Source organism: Homo sapiens, chromosome 4 (assembly GCF_000001405.40).
Source record: "Homo sapiens chromosome 4, GRCh38.p14 Primary Assembly".
Classification (NCBI taxonomy): domain Eukaryota; kingdom Metazoa; phylum Chordata; class Mammalia; order Primates; family Hominidae; genus Homo; species Homo sapiens.
Genome location: NC_000004.12, coordinates 132,487,532 through 132,504,509, shown reverse-complemented (window position 1 = coordinate 132,504,509; position 16,978 = coordinate 132,487,532). Strand labels below are relative to the sequence as shown.

Below are 16,978 nucleotides of genomic sequence, written 5' to 3'. Positions count from 1 at the left end.
TTGCCTTTTGTAAATGTAAAATACTTCGGGTTGTAGCAAATGTCTATTGCATAAATAAACTGATAGATGAGGGCAGAAGGTTATTGACAGATGAGTATAGTTATTCTGTGGCCTCTTAGAAGTAACTATTGTGTTATAAAGATGATGCTTGGAGTAGTCTAGTCATGTTTATTTCAAAGGTGATATATATATGGTCAAAACTACTTTAACTGAGATCATGGAAAGAATAATAATCGAAATTACTTAAGCATCATAATAAATTAAAGTATCGTTATTGGAGCTATTGCTATCTGTATACTTGGAATCTTCTAACATAATTAGATGATCCTTGTACTCAAATATGAAATTATCCTATAGATGGGAAAATGTTATAAGATATATTTACCTTGCCCAAAATTTCTTATTGGAAATTATCTTCTATTTTTTCTTCCTTCTCCTTTGTCTTTATCTTAAACCACTATAAACAATCAAAACTAAACAAAAAAGTCAAAACTCACCGTCCAGCAATGCATTATCTATATACTGGTTTTATGGGTGTAGTTGTTATTGTTTTTATCATTAGCTTCCGTAGGCCCCATGCAACTCAAATCCACGAGATACAGGAACTTTACTCCAAACCACTTTCCCTTTCTTTTCTCATGGCACCATATTTTATTCTTATTACCTCAATTCATTTGGCATACTCACTACCACATATATGTATTTTTTGATGAAAGAGTAGAACTTTATTCATTATTTATTCTAAGAAACATTTATGAAATACCTAGTATGTTTCAGGTGTTTAATTTAATCTAATACAAGTTAGATGTAGAGTTAGATATAGGAAAGCTAAAATGCATCCACTTATAAAACACTGAACAATGAACACTTTCCCTAGAAGAGAGAAGCAAATTGTCTCTTCCATCTGGCTCAACTGGACTCAGTTGAATAAGTCCATTTTATATTTCTTCCATGTTGCTATTTGTACTATCAAATCCAGACATTGGTTTCTTACCCAAACCCTCTTTAGAGGCCAATTACCCATATTCCCTGACGAAGGAGTTGACCAAGTAGTACTGGATTTTTGTAGATTATCTTATTACCCTAACCACAAATGATTGTTCCATTGCTAAGATATACCACCAAGGAAGGACCAAATATGAAACACATTATTTCTTCTGTAAATTTGGTGTGAATGTGGAAACTAAGTCCATTCAATTACACTGGGGATTTGAGCTTTAATATTAGCGAGGCTGTGTTGGCTTGTATTAGTTCATATGCAATCCAAAATGACAGACTTCAAGAGATAGAAAAGAAATATTGAAAGATTAATCACATGAATCATAAGAAAAATGGAGATGGAAACTGATTATATGAACATATTCTAGTTTTTCTGAAATCTAATTCCTTATCTTTTTATATGAGAAATTTTAGCACATTTCTATTTCAAGCAGTTCAAAATTCACTCAGTAAACCTTGTCATGGCTATACTTACTAGCACTTCATCTTGTATTTTCTGTTTACATTCTTTACCACTTAAAAAGATAATTATTATTATTTTTATTTTCTTTGCACAGTTGTTTCAGTGGTGTTGCTTTAAATGAAATGTGTTCACTTTTTTCCCTGTAAATGTGAGTTTCACAAGAACAAGATTATCTCATTTACTATTTACTTTTTAATTATATCACTATAGAATAGCATTCTTTACACACATGTGCATGCACACACGTGCACACATACACACGTATAATAAAGGATTGGCCAAACATGAGTGTTTTAAAGAGGAAATGAAAAAGCTTTCCTTTAGGGCTGCTGCTTGCAAATATGTTGCCATATCTAAGGATTTGTTTGAAAGCACTATTTTAAATTTAATCTGTTACCGTGCTAAGAAGGGAGTATTTTTACTCTTAACCATATGCCTGAAACACATCAAAAGATGCAGCCTCATAGAAACGAAACACCTATTTTCACCCAAAGGTATTAAAAATATGTTAAGCCATATGTGAAGAGCACAGTTTGTGGTTAACTATGTATTTTTCTTGCTGATGATAGTATGCATCCTCCTAGGACATGACTCCTTTTGCAAAAGACACTTAAATTGAGATTACAGAATCACAAATGTGCAGGTAGCACTTAGTGAGAGAAAAACTGACTCATACTTTTCATATTTCTCTCTAAGGAGGCATCCCCACAATGGAACAGGACAAGCATATAATAGAATAGCACATCAGGTGAGTCACTAGCTTGAATGCTATTTTGCATTCTGAAATCTCATTTTGACTTGACTGTCCTTACAATTTGTTAGATGAACTATAATAAAGCCCCAAAATGGCATATGTCACCTTTGATGCATGCTGCATTTTACATAATGTAGAAATAACTTATGATCCTACAGGGTAATAGATAGCTCAGCAGAAGAAATTATGATATGCATGAAGCTCCTGAAATGAAGTTGTCTATCTTCCTGTTAGGAAGTGTTGAGTCAGACATCCACTTCTCAAATAGTACTCAGGGAAATGTCAAACGGCACAATGTTAAATTAACAGTTTTGTATTAACTAAAACTAACTGAGAAACCAAAGTGAAAATAACAAATTTTGGCTTCAAGTAATTTTGTGAAAGAATGAAAATAATCACCTTTGTGTGGTGCAGTTTTGTATTTTAGTATCCAAAAGAGAAAGATGTATGATTTTCAATATTTCATTATTGAAAAAAGTAAACAGCTAAATGTAAACTAGAATTTTAAAGAAAATATGTATAGACCTTAAAAATAAATGGTAAGATATTAAGATGACTTGCCATGATGTAAAATTTGAAAAGTATATATTTTATTTTTTCTGTAGTTTTTTTTCAAAAACATCAACATTTTAAAACATGGATTTTTCAGTACAAAGATAAATATATATTTACCCCAAACTCATGATTGAGAACAAAATGACTGTGATAATAATCTGTAAATTAGAATCACAGAAACATGATCCTTTATTCCTTTTAATAACTATCAAGTTTCCACAGTTTTTAAGATAATTATCCTCAAAATTTAATTTCTGAAAATGTTAGTAAGACGAATACTTGGTATAAATGCAAATATCTGCACTCCTATTCCAGAGGTCAGTGTATTTTTTCCTAGAGGGTTCATGTAAAATCCATTTACCTTTTTTATTTCTAGATTTCATAGTGAATTTCTATAATTTTATGTTTACTCAGCATCTGCCTTGAATGTAAGTTAGACTTTCTCATGGCAGAAGCAAGGCTTGCCTCCTCTCTTTGTATCACCTGAATAACACGCCTAAGATATTTTCTGGTCAAGGAACCTCTAGAGAATAACTGTCTTGGTAAGAATAAACTACACAGTTCACACAGGGCCTGCCATTATAAACAACTTTTCTGTGAGAGGCACACCTGGTTAGGGGTCGGGATGAGACACTTAGGCATTAGATTGTCCACCACATCCGTGACCAAATTCCTGAAGTCCAGTCAGGGGCGGGATATAATATATAGTTACTCTTATGAGAGAGACCTCAACTCTAAAAGAAATAATAATAATATTAATAACCTTTTATATTACTGCAAAAGTATAGTAGCCTCAGGATATCTCATCTGCAAAAGTCAGAGATGAGATTCACCAGCTCTAAAGCACGAGCTTTAGAACCTCAAGGATATCTTAGAATTTTCTAGAAACCACTCAGCTCTGGAAATGAATTTAGAAATAATTTTGCTGCAGTACTTACCATATAATATAACAAATGAACAGTGACAATTCTCATGTTTTAATTGTCAAACAGAAGAATTAATTTTAGAACTTGATAGGCCTTTTGAAATAACTCAGAAAAAAAAGAAAAGAATGAAATCCTGTGTGATATATGGGACTCCATAAAGTGACCCAGAGAGAGAAGAAATTGGCATAGATATAGAAAACCTATTTAGCACCATAATAGCTAAAACATGTCCAAGTCCTGCAAAAGATATAGACATCCAGATACAGGAAGCTCTAAGATCACCAAAATAGTACAACTCAAAATGTCTTCTCCAAGGCACATCATAGTCAAACTGCCAAAAGTCAAAAATCACAGATAATTCAGTTTAAGAATGGGAAAAAAATTGGAATAGACGTTTCTCAAAAAAAAAAAAGAAAGAAAGACATACAAATTACAAACAGGTATCTTAAAAAATGCTCAACATGCCTAATCACCAGGGAAATGAAAATCAAAACCGCAATGTAATATCCTCTTAACCAGTTAGTGTGGTTATTACCAAAAAGACAAAAGACAGCAAATGCTGGCAAGGATGTACAGAAAAAGGAAATCTTATATACTGCTGGTGGGAATATAAATTTAGTACAACCATTAAGAAAAACTATATGAAGGTTTCTCAAAAAACTAAAAACTATCATACAATTCAGCAATTCCTCTAGAGGTAATTTATTCAAAGGAAAGTAGATCAATATATTAAAGAAATACCTGTACCACCATGTTTGTTGAAGTGCTATTCATTCACAACAGACAAAATGTGCAATTAACCTATTTCTCAATCACTAGATGTATGGATAAGAAAATGTATGTGTGTGTATATATGTATGTATATGTGTATATATGTATGTGTATATGTGTATATGTATGTATATGTGTATATATGTGTACATATATATACACACACACACATACATTTTCTTATCCATACATCTAGTGATTGAGAAATAGGTTAATTCCACATTTTGGCTATTGTGAATGAATAGCACTTCAATAAACATGTATATATATATATGTATATATATACACACACACACATACACACACACAATATATATATATAATGCTTTCCAGCCATAAAAACACTAAATTCCTATCATTTGCAACATGAATGGCACTGAAGGTCATTATGTTAATTGAAATAAGCAAGGCACAGAAAGACAGGTATTATATGTGGGAGTTAACAACATTGATATGATGGAGGTAGAAAAGAGAGGGATATTAACAGTTACCAGACAGTGGGAAGAGTCAGCAGAGGCAGGGGTGAAGGGAGGTTGATCATTGAGTACAAATATCCAGTTAAATATGAGGAATAAATTCTAGTATCCAACAGCCCAGTAGAGTAACTACAGTTAACGACAATATGTTTTATATTTCATAATAGCTAGAAGAGAAGTTTTGGTATGTTTCCAATGCCAAGATGTCAAAGATTATTTGATCATTACACATTGTATATATGTAATCAAATATCATAAGATCCCCATAAATATGTACAATTATTATGTATCAATGGAAAGCTTTCAAAGGGAGATTTGTTGAGGTGTGTTTATTCTCAAATCCAATATAAAAGAAACTCCACTTCCAGAATTATTCTAGACATAAAAGGAATAATTGAGAAGGCTATAACATATTCTGGTATTAAAGAAGCAAGGTAAAGAGGAAGTCAGATCCCAGGCATGAGGTTGAAGCACTGGATGCACCATTGTTGATTTTGAAGACAGAGGAGCCATGTGTCAAGAAATGTTTGAGCATTTAGAGCTGAGAGAAGGCCCTGGTCACAAACAAAGAAATGAATTTTTCAGTCAGTGATCCCAAGGAATTGAATCTGACCAACAACCTCAATGAACTTGAAAAGAGATTCTTTTTCAGCTCCTTGGATAAGGCCCGAGGCACTGACACTTTGATTCAGGCCTTGTGTGATCCTAAGGGGAGAATCCAATAACTCCTCTCAGACTTCTGACCTATAGAACTGAAAGCTAATAAATAAATATTGTTTTAAACCTCAAAGTCAGTGGTAATTTTTTTACTGTAACTTAAAATTTAATATACTTTTATGACTACTCTTGGGCCGACTGAAGGCTATTGTCTCTATCACTGGACATCTGAAAACTAAACAACTTCTATTGTGAGGTAGTTATGAAAAACATCTTTTTTTTTTCCTTGATCTTTGAATACAATAAATGTTAAAATGCGGTCAGGATCTGGACTGCCATCTTAAAACTGCAACTAGAAAAATGAACACAGAATGATTACAATGTCCAGGATTTGGAGGATGTATTTAAAGAAGCAGAATATCTCCTTGTTAAGCTCATCTGATAGTGCCTGCAGCAGCAATCACTAAAGGAACCACCCACAATGGCACTAACAGTTTTACCTACTAGCTCTCAGTTTCACTCAACCCAAAGTAAAGGATTTTACTTGCCAGATTGAAAGAAGTAAAAGGTTTGAATGCAGAATACTACATTCAAAACTTTCACTTCTTCCCTATTTATAAATACCATAAATGTTTTATTTCTTCCTTGGTAGTAACAATCCAAATTAAAAGACTAGCAACCCACCTTCCCCGTTCTCCAAAAAGGGGAATAAAGAAGCATTGAAATGTTTTATAATTCTATTTATATTTTGTATATCAAATGAATGTATATTGCATAATAAATTATAATAATTTTATTACAACTTTCATTTAATTTTTAGGCTCTATATGAACCAAATGGATATAGCTGTTTATTTGACAATACAGAATGTAAAATAATAAACCATAAATGGTTAAAAGTCACAACAAAAACAACTAGCTTGACTTCCTCTATTAATCAGACAACAACAGCTAAACCAAAAAGATGTGCCCTTTCCAATTTAGGCAAGATGTTCTCTAGACAGTGAGAGTGACTTTGAAGCATAAAAAGTAGTTAACCTTCCTGGCATGATGCTGTAAAAGGTGTCTGCTTATATCTATCTGCTTCCAGAATCATTTGGATCAAAGAAAGGTGGCACTGGTCTGGTTTTCTCTTGTGATTCAGACTTCCATTTCAAGAGAAGTAGCAATGTGTTGCTTATTTTCAATCAATTAATCGTTTTTCCTGTTACCATAGAGTTGTGATCTTATTGTACTGTGAGGAAAGAAGCTTGAACAGTAGTTTCGGGACGATGCATCTTTTTAGGTCAAAGCAGCTACAGTCACATCTCTTCACTTTAGTAACACTTCCAGATTCTTCTTATTTTCTTTCATCACTAAAATGACAGCACTTCAAACATATTAGATAATGTTTGTTGTAGAAAATGTTTGTGTATGTTAAATGTGGAACTAATAGGACAGAGAAGGACCTATTGGTTGATTATCCGACCAAGGGCAAAAATAAAATTTAAGTAAGCACATTTGAGAACAATAGATAAAATACATAACTACATTTTTTTACTGATAATTTAGTACAGTATTAATATTAAATAGAATGGTGTGACGTCTGCAACAGACTGTATTCTCAGTAATAATATATATTAAAGAAACAGATACTTAACAATTGGCATGGCTCAGATAAGGGAGACACTAATTGCAAAAACTTGAAAATGTAGCTAAAATATTGTCTTAAATCGACTTCTTATTGATTGTCAAATGAGGTCCCTTCACCATGTTTGTCTCAGAGTGGAATAATTTGTTATATTCTTGCTTATGAGAACATTTTTAAAAAGTAGTAGCGGGAGAAAGCACTCTTGACATAAATGTTAGAGAGCAGTATGGAGAGAACAGAACACCAAAGAGAGGATATATGCTCTTATCAGCTGAAGTTTATGTGAACAGTGTTTGATTTGATATTTTATTTAAATCTAGCATGAGCTTTTAGCCACATTAGCAGTGACATGCTATAAAGATACAGAATTGTATACAGTAGTGAGATGGTGATCAAGGCAGACCCAAGGACTAGGTTGCAGAGGTGGAACATATGTCTGTTACAGTTCATAGCTAGCCAGCCATGAGCAGGGCAGGAAAGGGCCCCTCACCACCAGGAATGTCAGACAACCATCAGGTGATGGCCAGGTAGTTGTTAACTGTCCCTTTAAAATAACGATTGACCGCAGCCAATGCCAGGGAAAGGCAGTCTCCCTATAGATGGAAAAAAACTGAAACTGGTGATCAACAGCTTCCTGATAAGATCTCAGCAGTTGGGCAAGTGGGCTCATACATGCACACTAAGAGGCAAAAGGGTGGAGTTTAATTGTTATATGACCTTCTGGGGACATTCTACCAGTAAAGGGAAGAACGCCTCAAGTGAGCCTGTGTAGAACTCAAGTAAACACACTGCACATGCTCCTGTCCCAAGCTCCAGGAGGCCATTGTGCATGCGGACAGCCCACCCAAAGGAAGACTAAGGGGAGAAGGGATACAAGACCCTGGAAGTATACCAATGTATAAAACCCCAAAAGGTCAAACCGTGCCCTTGTCCTCCAAGATGTCCACCTGGCGCTTTTCCAAGTGTACTTTCCTTTCCTTTCATTCCTACTCTAAAGCTTTTTAATAAAATGTCACTCCTGCTCTAAAACTTGCCTTGGTCTCTTTTTCTGCTTTATGCGCATCAGCCAAATTCTTTCTTCTGAGGAGGCAAGAATTAAGGTTGCTGCAGATACATGTGGATTTGGGGCAGGTAACTCAGATACCTGCCGCAGCTAACATGGCAACAGAGCAGACAGTGAGGTTGAATGCAGTGGCTCACACCTGTAATCCCAGCACTTTGGGAGGCTGAGGCAGGTGGGTCACCTGAGGTCAGGAGTTTGAGACCATCCCAGCCAACATGGTGAAACCCCGTCTCTACTAAAAATACAAAAAATTACCCAGGTGTGGTGGGAGGAGCCTGTAATCTCAGCTACTGGGGAGGCTGAGGCAATAGAATTGTTTGAACCTGGGAGGTGGAGGTTGCAGTGAGCTGAAATCACACCACTGCACTCCAGCCTGGGCAAAAAGAGCTAAACTCCTCAAAAAAAAAAAACCCAGACATTGAGACAAAACAAGGTAATTAAGAGGAAACACAGACAATTAAAGAGATATGTTAATGGACTGTAGATCTAGGTACTCAGGACTTGTTTAGGAAAAGGCAGGTACCTACTTTCATGCGCGTCTGTGTGAAGAGACCACCAAACAGGCTTTGTGTGAGCAATAAAGCTTTTAATTACCTCGGTGCAGGTGGGCTGAGTCTGAAAAGAGAGTCAGCGAAGGGAGATAGGGGTGGGGCCGTTTTATAGGATTTGGGTAGGTAAAGGAAAAAGGGGGGTTGTTCTCTGGTAGGCAGGAGTCGGGGTCACAAGGTAACCAGTGGGGGAGCTTTTGAGCCAGGGGGAGCCAGGAAAAGGAATTTCACAAGACAATGTCATCAGTTAAGGCGGGGCAGGGCATATTCACTTCTTTTGTGATTCTTCAGTTACTTCAGGCCATCTGGGCGATATACCTGCAAGTCACAGGGGATGCGATGGCTTGGCTTGGGCTCAGAGGCCTGACACCTACTTCTAAGGCAAATAGCAAAGCTATACACAAGGCACTGTTTGTGACTTCCCTGATTTGTGAAAATCAAAATGTGTTGTAAAAATAATGTTGTAGTGCTGATAAGCTGACACTTTAATATACGATTGGTGAAAATATAAACTTTAAGTCACTATGGATAGTAATTTAAATGTTTATCAAAGTATAATATACACACAGTTTTACATAGCAATATAGGTTCTAGGTAATTTTCCTATAGATGTACTTACATATATGCAGAAAACAAAAGTGCAAGTGTAATTATTAATTTGTTTATAATAGCTAAATATTTGATGCAATATAAATGTCAAACAATATATGGCACATCAAATGATGCTCACATATCACAGTATGATTTGCAGTAATTTTAGAGTGAGACAATTCTATGAGGACTTATAGAAAACTCCAAGATATATGATGAATTAAAAAAATAAACTGCAAAAAAGCTTTGAAAACTATGGTATAGTTTGCAAATCTTTGGCCCCTTCTAATTTTTCTTGTCTGTAATCGGTAGACAGTGAGAACAGTAGGCATATTCTAAATGAAGCCAAACAGACAGAAAAAAAGTAACTGGCTTCCTGATGAAACCATTAAACCTCTGTACTTGTTCCAAAATTCTTATTGGGTAGAAAATATAATTGTATTTGTATTTACACTTCCACCAACCAAAAATTTTTCTTTAATTGCTACTGGTGCATATATTTATTACATTTTTAATTGTTAGTAAGTCATTACATGTTCACCTCTTTGGAAAGTATACATTAACATACTGTTAGTATTTTATTATGCTTCCTTTAAGGAATATAATAGGAGTAATAATAATATATGCATATATTTCCTTGAGGATTATAATAGAAATCTATGTATAATAATAAATAAATACATAAATAATATTATTAGGCATAAATTTTCATTATATTCCTTAAAGAAAAAATATTTATATACCTTTAAAGGAACAAAATAGCTTGTTAACATTAGGGAAAAAAAGACAGAAAACTGCTTTATGAGTTGGCTTAAAATATTTTAAGTTTATAACATTTTATGTAATAGATTAAAGAGTTTATAAGATTTATAAATTGTTTAGGGACTGTGGTGACTACATACTCATTAAGATCAATATTCATGTCAATGGTTGATTGTAAAAGCAAAAATTGGCTTATATTTGACATTTTTATTTTAACAATGACATATAATACTAGTATAAACATTCTTGGTACATGACAATGAGAATTAGAAAAACTTATAATTATATAAATTTTTATGTTAGTAGTTTTGAAGGTTTTATTGGTGTTTCTAAATTGGTGATTAAAAACAATTTTGCTGAAAGTAGTCTGCTTGATTATCACATATAGTATGGAGCTCACAATTTGCTGGAAGAAAATAACTACTATGTCCTTAAAATCATGTTTTGGCTAAAATTTTTGTGAAAATCCTATATTTTACTTAGAAGTTTAACTATGGTATTTTTGTTTTAACAGTTAAGATATGCATATATTTAACTTCTGGTAGAACTATATGTCCCTATTGTATCTTCTTTATAGAATTAAATATAGAGCTGACACAAGGAGGTGCTATAGGGATTATGATACTACAAAAACATATATTTCAATTTTCCACATGTATTTTACTAATATAATGTTTGAGATTATGAAAGACAAATTTTACCACAGTAAGGCTCTAAGAAAATAAATCTTGACAATTGGTGCAGCTGCAGCATAATTTCCTTCTTAGCAGGAGGTTTGCTTGTCAGACAGGTAATCCCCTGGGTAATCAGAATTGCAAAAGGCATTGATGATCATTTAGATAAAATAGTATAATACCTGAAATAAACCTGGGTGAGAAGTCCAGCTTATTCAACAAAAAAGTCCTGGACTTGAATCAGAAAGAGATTTATTTAAAATCCTCCCACAAAGAAGAACTATTTCATCAATAGCCTGAGTGTAAAACATATTTAATCTACCTTTTGATATAATTCTGGTCTTGAAACATTAAAAACACATCAAAAGTAAAATGATCAAAGATTAAATCAATATAGTAATTATTCCTTAATAAATACATTTTAATATTAAGATGTAAACATCCGTTTTGAAGGCACGTCAAGATAATTTGGTTTAAATGTTTTAATTTGTATTATTCTCTTGCATATGTAGGTGGATATATTCAATACAAAAATATAACAAAAGTATGTGACTCAGTAAAGCAGTTTAAATAGTAATACTCGCTGGGTGCAGTGGCTCACCCCTGTAATCCCAGCACTTTGGGAGGCTAAGGCGGGTGGATCACGACGTCAGGAGATCGAGACCATCCTGGCTAATATGGTGAAATCCCATCTCTACTAAAAATAGAAAAAAATTAGCTGGGCATGGTGGTAGGCGCCTGTAATCCCAGCTACTCCGGAGGCTGAGGCAGGGGATTTGCTTGAACCCGGGAGGCAGAGGTTGCAGTAAGCCAAGATTGCACCATTGCCCTCCAGCCTGGGTGACAGAGCAAGACTCCATCTCAAAAAAAAAAAAAAAAAAAAAAGTAATACTAATACAATAATGACAATCATTAATTGTTACTATGTGCCAGTATGTGCCAGGTAGCTATTCTTACTGTTATATGTAACTCATCTGATCTTTCACAGCACTTTTAATATATCGGCATTATATTACCTACATTTTCAGGAACTTAGTCTTGTATAGATGATATACATTTTTAAAAAATCATACAGGTAGTAGGTAGCAGAGCTAAAATTCTAATCTAGGAGATTTGGCTTTAGAACCAGTGCTGTTAATCCCTAAGTTGTCAATCAATAAGTAAAATATATATGCCATTTTTCATTCGCGTCCGTGTGAAGAAACCACCAAACAGGCTTTGTGTGAGCAATAAAGCTTTTAATCACCTAGGTGCAGGTGGGCTGAGTCCGAAAAGAGAGTCAAGGGAAGGGAGACAGGGGTGGGGCCGTTTTATAGGATTTGGGAAGGTAATGGAAAATTACAGTCAAAGGGGGTTGTTCTCTGGTGGGCAGGGGCGGGGGTCACAAGGTGCTCAGTGGGGGAGCTTCTGAGCCAGGAGAAGGAAATTCACAGGGTTAATCCCTCAGTTAAGGTGGGGCAGGAACAAATCACAATGGTGGAATGTCATCAGTTAAGGCCGGGCAGGGCCTTTTCACTTCTTTTGTGATTCTTCAGTTACTTCAGGCCATCTGGTCGTATACATGCAAGTCACAGGGGATGCGATGGCTTGGCTTGGGCTCAGAGGCCTGACACCATTTATATTAATATAATAAATTACATTGTAAATTCCCAAACAGCTTCTGTTGCTTCAAGCAGCTTTAAGACAAGTATGAATTATATCTGTTTAGTAGAATCTAGACCCAAATATTTTCTTCCAGTGCTATAGTTTTCAAGAAAAATCAGTTTGATTTAAAAATAAAAAGAATAAAAATATCTTTTCACTTAAATTATTACAAAGTTCTTTGGATCATGGTTTCTTGTAACCATGAGTAAAATAATCTCATCTCCATTTCTTGAGCTACTAATTACATGCAGCACATTAAATCAAGTCTACTTAGGGAAAGACTACATAATAAATTAATTTAATTAACAGTAAGACAGAGGAGAACATATGGTTATCATATGATAATCACTCCTTTGGGATATCTCTCTGGCACAAAGTTTTCCATATTTGAGTGGTAAAAAATAGCCACTTTTTATTAGCTTTATTAAGATGCACCTAGATCAAATCCTAAACACAAAGCATGAGATAATGTATTTGCACTTAGAATCAAATAAATTTTTATAGACCTAAAAAAACCTCTAAGTTTTAATTATTTTTGTATTTGTAAGTAAGGATTCATGATAAATACGGTTTATTTTCTGTCCTGGTGATTTGCTTCCAGGAAACATTTGTATAAGGTTGAATATGCATCTTATAACTACTCAAGTTCCAGCTTGAAGTTAATATTACCTGGAATGGATATTAGGGTCTGGAACAAAATACTGAGGTTTCATTTCTGTAAAGTTGCTACAAATCCAACTAAATAAGGTATTACTTGGACAATGGATGCCATAATACCTGACCTGCTTTAATTAGAGATTGGGTGGTATACTAGGGGTATATATCTGTTGGAACATATACAGAGCTAAATTAATTAATTTTTACTGTGGCAAAGTATACATTTCATAACGTTTACCATACTAACCCTGTTTAACTGTATAGTTCTGTGTACAGTTCTTAAGTGTACTCAGTGTCTTGAAAACATTGGCACTACCCATCTGTAGAACTTTTTCATATTTCCAAATTAAAATTTTGTATCCATGAAATAAAAATTTTCTCTTTCTACCCCTTGTCTCTGACAACCAACATTTGACTTTCTGTCTCTATGAATTTAACTACCCAAGATGTCTCACATAAATGGAATTATACAGCATTCGTCCTTGTGTGACTAGTTTATTTGACTTTGCATAATGTCTTCAGTTTCATTCATGTTGTAGCACATGTCAAAACTTCCTTCCTTTTTAAGGTAAATAACATTCCATTGTATGATTATTTCATGTTTTGTTCATCCATCCGTCTGTTCATAGACACTGAGGTTGCTTCCCTATTTTGACTATCGTGAATAATGCTAACATGCATATGGGTGTACAAATATGTGTTTCTCTGCTTTGAATGCTTTTAATTGCACCTCATGAATTGGAACTGTTGGATTATATGGTAATTCTGTTTTAATTTTCTTCATAGAACAGTCATACTGTTTTCCACAGCAGCTATACTATTTTACATTTCTACCAGCAATGCACAAGGGTTTCAGTTAATCTATATTCTCCTCTACCCCTCATATATTCTTTTTTGATTTTTAGTAACAGCCATCCTAACAGGTGTGAAGTGGCATCGCATCATGGTTTTGATTTGAATTTCCCTAATAATTGGTGAAACTGAACATCTTTTTATGTGCTTATTGGCCATTTGTGTATCTTTTTGGAAAAATGTATATTCAAGTTATTTGCTAATTTTAAAATTAAGTCATTTGTTTTTCTTATTTTGTTGTAAGACTTGGTTACATAATCTGGAAATTAGCTCCTTGTCAGATATATAATTTGCAAATATTTTCTCTTATTCTATGGATTGTCTTTTTATTTTATTCATAATGTCCTTTGATACACAAGATTTTTAATTTTGGTATAGCTAAATTTATCTATTTTTTTGTTACCTGTGCTTTGCTGTCATATCTAAAAAATTACTGCTACACTCAATGTCATGAAGCTTCTCCATTTTTCTTAGTCTCATGGTTTTAGCTCTTACAATTTGGTCTTTGATTTATTTTTACTCTAAGGTGTACTGTGAAGATCCAACTTTTATTTAAGGAGGGGGGGGATGTTGTAGACATTTCGTTTCCCTGCACCATTTGTTGAAAAGAGTGTTCTTATCTCATTAAATCAGCCTGGCACCCTTAAAAAAACATTTGAGCTGGGCACAGTAGCTCACACCTGTAATCCCAGTACTTTGGGAGGCCGAGGTGGGTGGATCACCTGAGGTCAGGGGTTTGAAACCAACCTGACCAACATGGTGACACCCCCTCTCTACTAAAAATACAAAAATTAGCTGGGCATGGTTGTTGGTGCCTGTAAACCCAGCTACTTGAAAGGCTGTGGCATGAGAATCACTTGAACCCATAAGGTGGAGGTTGCAGTGAGCCAAGATCGCACCACTGCACTCCACCTTGGGCAACAGAGTGAGACTCCATCTCAAGAAAAAAAAAAAAAAAGTCATTTGACCATATATACAAGTGTTTATTTCTGGAATCTCTGCTCTATTTCAGTGGTCTACATGTGTGTCTTCATACCAGTACCACATTGTTTTGATAATTGTAGCTTTGAGGTAAGTTTTGAAATCAGGTAGGATGAGAACTTGGAATTTATTCTCTTTCCTCAAGATTGCTCTGGCTGTTTTGGGTTTCTTGAGATTCCATATGAATCTTAGAATGGATTTTTGTCTTTCTGCAAAAAACATCATTGGGATTTTGATCAAGATTGCACTGAATTTGTAGCTCACTTTGTGCAGTATTGACTTTTTAACAGATTATTTTGTTTTATTTTACTTTTATTTAATTTTTGTATGTGTTCTATTATTGACATCTTAACAACATTAATTCCTCCAACTCATAAACACAGCATATCTTTTTCTTTATTCATGTCTTTAAAATGTTTCAGCAACATTTTATAGTTTTTTAGTATAAGATTTGCCTCCTTGGCTAAACTTATTTCTAAGGTTGTTTTTTTAGATGCTGTTGTGAATGGGATTTTTTCTTTAATTTTCTTCTCAGATTGTTCATTGTTAGTATAGAGAAATGCAACTTCAACTTTTTTTTGAGAGTTGATTTTATATCTTGCAACTTTCCTGAATATTTTTATTAGTCCTAACAGGCTGTCTGTGTGTGTTTACGTGAGTGTGTGTGTCTACTCTTTTGCATATTCTACACGTAAGACCATACCATTTGTGAAAAAGCCTTCTTTCTTTTCACTTTCAATGCATATTATTTCTTTTTCTTGCCTTATTGCTCTGGCTAGCATTTCCAGTCCTATGTTAAATAGAAATGAGAGATGTGGAAATCTTTGTCTTGCTCTTGATCCCAGAGCAAAAGCTTTCAGTCTTTTCCCATCGAGTTTGATGTTAGCTGTGTGTTTTTCATATATAGCCTTTATTATGTTGAAGTTGTTTCCTTCTATTTGTAGTTTGTAAAGTAATTTTTAATCATGAAAGGGTATTAAGGTTTGTCAAATTCTTTTTCTGGATCAATTGAGGTGACTATGTTTTCTTTTTCTTCACTCTGTTGATAATTGCATAATAAAACAGGCAAGTTTTATATATTGAAAGTATTATTAAAGGGGCATTTTATTTGATTTTGCCAAATTAAAAAAATAAGATAAGTTGCATTTAACTGAATAATATGTTAATGACTAAAGTAAATCTAAAATCCTCATTTGCCTGTTCTTTTTTTTTTTAAAAAGAAAGAAATACCCTTTCTGACTTTCTGAGATTATTACTATCCAGTTTAAGTAATTTGACTGATAATTATTGACAATAATCCACAATTAGCTACAAAATAAAGCCAAGTTTTCTTTGAATAGAACTCAAATAGCTTATCGAAACCTTTATCAATGTTAACATCTTTTTTATTTGAATACACATTCCAATCTTCCCACTTGTCAAAGTCTTCCAATTTATCCTTCAAAATATCGTTTCAATATTACATCTTCTAAGTTGCATCAATATATTTTACATCACTGTATCATTAAATATTGCTCTTTAATATAACTTTTTTCTCTTTCATAACAAACTGACAATTTTAAGAGCATTTTTGCATCTGAGAAAACTGGAATAAATGAGTTCTCAATATCTGTTTGCTGATGTAAGTGAGTAATAACTAATGAATTATTATTTCTAAACCTTAATATTCCCATTTTATTAAATTTAAATTTCCATTTGGGCTCTTTCTTTTATCTTATATATCATGTTCCTATTATTGTCCTCTATATTGAAAGCATCCTATGTATGAAAGTAGGGTCTTAACTTTATATCTACATCATCTAACACCCACATTTACTGAATTATAGATATTTATAATTTTCAGTTTATTCTTTAGTTATAAACCGTTTATTCGTCTAACCATAGTTAATTAAGACAATTAAAGCATAAGATGTTTTAAAATACATTTTGAATATAAATTAATTTAATAAGCATTATTTATTTATTTATTTATTTAT

At 33.7% G+C, this 16,978-nt stretch overlaps 2 annotated features.

The window, feature by feature from the left end:
* Positions 8,414 to 8,933: an enhancer, noted in NCBI's record as "OCT4-NANOG-H3K27ac-H3K4me1 hESC enhancer chr4:133416732-133417251 (GRCh37/hg19 assembly coordinates)". NCBI's record gives its function as "activates a minimal SCP1, AML or CMV promoter by ChIP-STARR-seq in naive and primed H9 embryonic stem cells {active_cell/tissue: H9 hESC(naive and primed)}" and the evidence as "EXISTENCE:reporter gene assay evidence [ECO:0000049][PMID:30033119]".
* Positions 8,934 to 9,454: an enhancer, noted in NCBI's record as "OCT4-NANOG-H3K27ac hESC enhancer chr4:133416211-133416731 (GRCh37/hg19 assembly coordinates)". NCBI's record gives its function as "activates a minimal SCP1, AML or CMV promoter by ChIP-STARR-seq in primed H9 embryonic stem cells {active_cell/tissue: H9 hESC(primed)}" and the evidence as "EXISTENCE:reporter gene assay evidence [ECO:0000049][PMID:30033119]".